The sequence below is a fragment of the Homo sapiens genome, chromosome 1 (assembly GCF_000001405.40).
Source record: "Homo sapiens chromosome 1, GRCh38.p14 Primary Assembly".
Taxonomy (NCBI): Eukaryota; Metazoa; Chordata; class Mammalia; order Primates; family Hominidae; genus Homo; species Homo sapiens.
The window spans coordinates 113,139,195-113,146,062 of record NC_000001.11 but is presented as its reverse complement, the minus strand read 5'-3'; the positions used below and the strand labels follow the sequence as shown (position 1 = coordinate 113,146,062).

Genomic DNA, 6,868 nt, shown 5'->3' with positions numbered 1-6,868 from the left:
ATTAAGAGTTTTATGTAAAGTGCCTAGAGCAATGCCTGACACACAGTAAACATTAACTATTGTTATGGTTAATAATAACACTCAGCCTCTCTTGTGTACATCCTATACTGAAGCAACACATCTCCTTGAGCATAGAGGGTAACAGTAGAGGTTTCTGAACCTTTTAGTCACTGTCTAACCCTCAGCCTAGAGCAAACAATGGGACCAAGCATTCGTTTATGATCTATTGGAGGAGCCCTAAGCATGGGACACTAGTGTCCACTCTGCCACCAAATGATGCCCTTGCCCATGTGGCCTTGGGCAAGTCCTTGCTCCTCTCTGGCCCCAGTCCACTCATCTATAAAATGAATTGGTGGGTCTAAATAATTCCTAAATTTGGCCGGGCACAGTGGCTCACACCTGTGATCCCAGCACTTTGGGAGGCCGAGGCGGGCGGATCACCTGAGGTCAGGAGTTCGAGACCAGCCTGGCCAACATGGTGAAACCCCGTCTCTATTAAAAAATACAAAAATTAGCCAGGCGTGGTGGCAGGCGACTTAATCCCAGCTACCTGGGAGGCAGAGGCAGGAGAATCATTTGAACCCGGGAGGCAGAGGTTGCAGTGAGCTGAGATAGAGCCATTGCACTCAAACCTGGGGGATAAGAGCAAGACTTCTCTTAAAATAATAATAATAATAATTTCTAAATTTGATTATACATTATAATCACTTGAAGACATCACAAAATGCAGATTCCCGGACTCTGCCAATCAAATCCAAGTTTCTGGAAATGGAGGCTGAGAATCTGCATTTTACTAAACTCCTTAGAGGATCATGATGTTAGCCAGGCGTGGTGGCTCACGCCTGTAATCCCAGCACTTTTGGGAGGCTGAGGCCTATGGATCTCCTGAGGTCAGGAGTTCGAGACCAGCCTGGTCAACATAGTGAAACCCCATCTCTACTAAAGATACAAAAAAATTACCTGGGCATGGTGGCAGGCACCTGTAATCCCAGCTACTAGGGAGGCTGAGGCAGGAGAACCACTTGAACCTGGGAGGTGGAGGTTGCAGTGAGCCGAGATTGTGCCATTGCACTCCAGCCTGGGCAACAAGCGAAACACCGTCTCAAAAAAAAAAAAGTGGATCATGATGTTCAGTCAGGTTTGAAAGCAACTGACTAGATCAGCTGTAAGGCCCCTTTCAATATTCAGATTCCTAAGATACATTAATTATAGACTCATGGAGCAGAAAGGAGCTTTGAGTGGTCATGTGCCTTAGAGGACCAGGGCAGATGGCTGCTTTCCTGTGAGAAAGCTATGCTAGTGCTCTGGTGGCTCTTCCAGGGTTTAATTATCCCTAGCATTAGGAAGATATACTTTCTATCTAATCAAATGCTTCATCTCAGCAATTTACCTCCCACTCTGCTGGCTTTGTACTTAAGGGTGTAGAGAAGGGCTGGTCAGTTCCCTGTAGTGTAGCCCTTCATGTACTTGAGTGCTGTTGGAAGTCAGACTAGACCTGACATTATTACTGGTGAAAATGTCTCTTGACTTTGGGCTTTCCTTTCCATTCCCATTGCAACTGCCCAAGTTTAGGCTGCTAGCGTGTCTTGTTTGGACCATATAACACCTTTCTAACTAGTCTTCTGACCTCCAGTCTCTTCTCTATTCAATCTTCATGGTACAGTTATTTTCCTAACCCCCAGCCCTGAATGTATCACTTCTCCTGCCCACAAATCCTCCATGCCTCCCAATCAAAACGAAAGCCCTCATCCTGTCATTCAAGGCCTTTCAGAGCCTGACCCCACCTACACTTTTGCTTTCTTAGCTTATTACATTTCTCTTCCATAACTCCCTCAGGCCAAGAGCCTCCTTGGGCTACAATTTACTTTGCTGAATTTTTTTGACAGGTTTCCCAAACTTGAATAACCATGGAAGTCCCCTCCCCACCACTGCCTATGTTTCATGGCAAAATATTTACAAACATCTCATGGATACTAAGTGATTCACGGTACTCAGTTTGGGAAACACTCTCTCTGCCCTTCCTTCTGGTTGCCAGCGGCTTAACTATCTATTTCAAGAGCTTCCCAGGTCTTGAACTGCAACTCAAAATAACTATCTAATGTTGTCATACCTGCTACCTCTCAATCTGATTTTATTTTATTTATTTTATTTATTTATTTATTTATTTATTTATTTATTTATTTATTTATTTATTTTGAGATGGAGTCTCGCTCTGTCACCCAGGCTGCATCTCAGCTTACTGTAACCTCCCCCTCCCAAGTTCAAGCAATTCTCCTGCCTCAGCTTCCCGAGTTGTTGGGATTACAGGTGCCTGCCACCATGCCAAGCTAATTTTTGTATTTTTAGTAGAGATGGGGTTTTGCCATGTTGGCCAGGATGGTCTCGAACTCCTGACCTCAGGTGATCCGCCTGCCTTGGCCTCCCAAAGTGCTGGGATTACAGGCGTGAGCCATTGTGCCCAGTCCAATCTGACTGTTTTTAAATACTGAGAAGGCTCTACAGAGCTATGGAACGGGAACACTCCACTATCACCACTCTTACTCCTTCTTTTTCTTCTTTCCTGAGCTGATACCACATTTTCCTCAAGAGTTGAATTGCTCAAGGTCTATCATGATTTAATTAAATGAGCATAGTTGACCATTCAACCATCTTTGTTTTCCTAACTCCAAATAGCCTCCTGGAGCAGGTATGTATCTATGCCTCCTGGGGCTACTCCCTATTCCTGCACCTGTGACAGACATTGTTGGTGAATTACAGCACTTGCCTCTGGGGCCTAGATGTGATGATGGAGACTCAGAATCCAACTCAATACAATTCCCCAGGCAGGCTTTATCCATCAATCAGAGTTGGCATGCAGTTGAGACAGTCCTTACCATCAGTGACCTAGTTGATTAGCTAATGTGTTCACTAGAAAAGCTCTGTTTCAACTCCCTTATAGAACATAGAGTAGTTTCTAGTTGCATTCTGTCTACTCTAAGCCTTTCAGGCTAGAGGATTTGGGTTGTGGGTGAGGATCTATTATTAGTCTAATTTGGCATGAAAATTGGAGTAAGACTGCCAAGGTCAGAAAAGTTTCTCCTAAGAACCGCCCTAGAGCATTGTCTGCCTCCCATCTCTATTTCCTGCCAAAACCCACAGAAATGTCTGGTGAGCTAGCTGGTCTTTAGCCATAAGAAAGAGTACCATAGAGGCTACAAAACAAGTGACAAACTACCCCTGGAAGGATGAAACTCTGGGGCAGACAGCAATTGGAGATGCCTTGGATGTCCCAGAGCAGCGGCAAGGTTTTCCACTTGGCCTGAGCTGATGGAACCATTTGCAATGGAAAGCCTGATATCTTCGGTCAGGTAACAGGCTGCTCCAGTTTCTTCTCTCTTCTCCTCCCCCTCCTTCTCCTCTGAGTTGATCGCATTTCCTTGGTGATGTTCATGCTTAGTCAGTAGATCTTAGGGAACAAGTGTATACCCCATTGGGACCTTGTCCGTGTAAACTACTATGTACTAATTAATGTTTTCCTCTGTACTGCATCTTCCTTCCTCTCTTTCTGGCACAAGCATTTATTTAATACCTACTGTGTGTTAAGTGGTAAGCACTGCCGTAGAGAAAAAAGCCCTTGAATTCTGTCTGGAGCCACCTGGGGATGCTGTATATGAAACAAATGCCACAGCCCTCATTAGCAGAAAAATACACTTCAAGTTGCTTCCTGTCTTCTTTAGGCCTCAAGAAAGCTGTAACTGAGTGGGAAAATGTTGAAACCTCACAGCTAAAATGAGAGCATTCCAGGGAATTCTACAAAATCATGAAGTGCCTCCATCAGTTGAACACAAACCAATTCTCAAACCCAGGAAACCGTAACGAGAGATTGGGTGAACACTTCCTAGCTCTGACTTATTGCCAGGCATTGTTCTCATTGTTTTCTATATATTAACTCTCTAAATCCCCACAGTAATGTTATGAGTTAAATACTCTTATCATTTAAAAGATGAGAAATAGAGGCACAAAGAGGTTAAATGACCTACCCAAGCCTCAACAGCTAGGAAGTGGTAGAGCTAGGATTTGAACCTATATAGTCTCATCGCAGAGTCCTAAACTGCCTGAAATATGTACATTTAAGCAAAAAACAAAAAGTGCTGATTCATGGATTGGAATGGAGTGGGATGAGTAATAACTGGGTGGTGCTTTTTATCTCAATATGTTAGATCAGCTAAAGACAGAAGGGTTTTGATAGCTGAGGGGCCCAGTGTCTATCCCATACTTTAAGGAAGGCCTCAGAAAGGCCAGCTGCTCCCCTAGATCCACCCACAGCTCCTAGTGTCCCCTGACAGACAGCAGACTGGTGCCAGAGTAGTTTCATGTGGTTGAGAGCCAGATATGCAAACAGTTCTGCATGGGTCCCTTTATGCACTTACATACTGTATTTTTTACTAGAAAATGGTGACATATTTAGTACCTAGTGCAGCAATGTCGTAGGTCCTACAAGTATGAAGCCTAACTTCTAGAATGGACTCTACCACCTACTGTCCCTTGATTCAGTTCTTTGCAACTATAAATATTTATTCATTCAGTAAATAATTTTGAGACCTCCTCCATGCCAAGCAACATGCACTAATTTGAATTCAATAGTTGCCCTAAGGTACTCACTATTTGCTGGTGGTGACAGTCAGATAACGGGATCTTTATAAGCACTTCCGCACTGTGTCCTCAAAGTGTGCCAGGGAGTGAGGGAGGGCTCAACCTGTCCCTCTTCCCTAGGAGTCTGTGAGCAGCAAATGAGATCATACAGGGGAAAGGGCTTTGTAAATAGCAGAAGGTGAGAATGGGGTGTGTGAGGAGGTGGGGAAGAGGGGGAAGAAGGAGGAAGCAGAGGGAACGGGAGGCAGAAGGGAAGGAGGGGTGAAGGAGAAGAGAGGGAGTGGCAGGGGGAAGGAAGGGGAAGTAAAGTGGGAGGACTTCAACTAGGAGCTGGCTGCCTTTTCTGGAGACCTCGGGCAGGCAGCCGCCAAGCTGAGTGCTCCATCAGGGGCTGTGAGCCTGAGTGAGGCCTCACAGGAGTGAGGGAACCAAGCCTGAAGCTCAGGGCTCACTCTCCTAGCAGGCCAAGTCCAAACCTTGCAACCGTTGCCAGACTACTCTGGACTCCGTCCTAGTGGGGGCCTTAAACTCGTGTTATGTTGCTTGAGACTAGGTGCTTTCGCTGCTCCCCATGCACCCCAACCTCTTCAGGATCCCAGCTTGAAAAGTGACAAAGGCCAAGCTGTCCCTCTATTGTGATGCCCGATTTCTCATGAATCCCCTTATATAATGGTATCTCTGAGAAATGGTGGCTCGAGGTGACGCCAGCCACCACCATTCTCTGTACTGAATCGCCACCTAGAGGCCAGTTCTAGCCCAAACCAATGTGTAGGCCAAGTTTTCAATTTTGCCTCAAGATAGAAAACAAAACAAGAGTTATCTTTGAACAAAAAGATAAAAAGGCAAGAAAATGGCACAAGACCTTTAAAAGGACTCCATCAGTCCCTTCACCAACCCTGTGGTTTGCTGATGAGATATGCAAGGGCTGAAATGTCTCCACTTCTCAATGGGGCAGGATTTCCTCCATGGCTTGGGACCAATGTGAGAATGTCACTGTTTCTCACATATTCTAAAGTCTAGATTTGAAGAACAAATATGCCAAGAAAACCCTCCAGTTTGCCCTGCATGTCAGACCCCAGCCCATCTGCTCCTCTTCTTTCATGCCCAAATTCAGACACGTTGGCTAGCTTGGGAAGACAGCTCAGCAGAAGATAGGATGTCCTTTTTAGGAGAGTTTGCTAATTTGGCTTACATTTCTGGAATTAGATGCCCTACACTGAACATGAATACCCATTAATCCTGGACCATTTATTGGGAAGTAGTTGGATGAGTCTACAAAGGCATCGAAGGTAAGTTGATAGTTCAAAATGAGCATCAAGGCCGGGCATGGTGGCTCAACGCCTGTAATCCCAGCACTTTGGTAGGCCAAAGCGGGCAGATCACCTGAGGTCAGGAGCTCAAAACTAGCCTGGCCAACATGGCAAAACTCCGTCTGTCTACTAAAAATACAAAAATGAGCCGGATGTGGTGACAGGTGCCTGTAATCCCAGCTACTTGGGAGGGTGAGGCACGAGAATCACTTGAACCCGGGAGGCAGAAGCTACAGTGAGCCAAGATCGCACCACTGCACTCCAGCCTGGGCATCAGAGTGAGACTCTGTCTCAAAAAAAAAAAAAAAAAAGAAAAAAAAATGAGCATCGAGGTATTTTGGTCTGAAGAAAATCCAAGCTACATGGTTCCAGATCTTCAGTGCCCCAGCTTGAACAGTATCAGGAACAGCAGAGTACTAAGAAAAGTAAGCCAGGCTCCCAAACTGAGCAAGGACAGTTTTCTTAATCCTCTTTTTAAATTTTTTAGGTTTTTCTGTTCATTCCTTTGCCAGTCTAGTAATTCAGCTTCCCACTACTCAGCTTATTGAATTCTTAAGTATAATTGGAAAACAAGATACATAAAATATTCAAACTCTCATTATCAAAGCATCCTAGTTTGTGACTGCTTGGGGATAGCAGTGTGTGCAGTGTCCAGGGAATGCCCACAGAGGCTGCAATACATTTTTGCAGGCAAGCAGCTGCTGGTCCCTCTTCAGACCAACAACAATTCAAAGAAGGGGCTCCCTTTAGAGTAAACCTGGAGGAACCTTGGGAAAATTAGACTGATGTTTGAATTTATGAAAAAGCCACAGCTGTTCCCCAAGGATAAAGTTCAGTCCATTGATCGGCCAAAGGGCCCAGAGGAAATGAAATTGCCATTTCCTTTACCCATCCACCCAAATAAGTTAGACTTCTAAAAACTGAAG

At 45.0% G+C, this 6,868-nt stretch overlaps 2 annotated features.

The window, feature by feature from the left end:
- Positions 4,637-5,537: a transcriptional cis regulatory region, noted in NCBI's record as "candidate enhancer chr1.7885 targeted for multiplex CRISPR interference". NCBI's record gives its function as "positively regulates MAGI3 gene expression with high confidence in K562 cells {active_cell/tissue: K562}" and the evidence as "EXISTENCE:mutant phenotype evidence [ECO:0000015][PMID:30612741]".
- Positions 5,088-5,257: an enhancer, noted in NCBI's record as "active region_1528". NCBI's record gives its function as "activates an Ori minimal core promoter by ATAC-STARR-seq in GM12878 lymphoblastoid cells {active_cell/tissue: GM12878}" and the evidence as "EXISTENCE:reporter gene assay evidence [ECO:0000049][PMID:35858748]".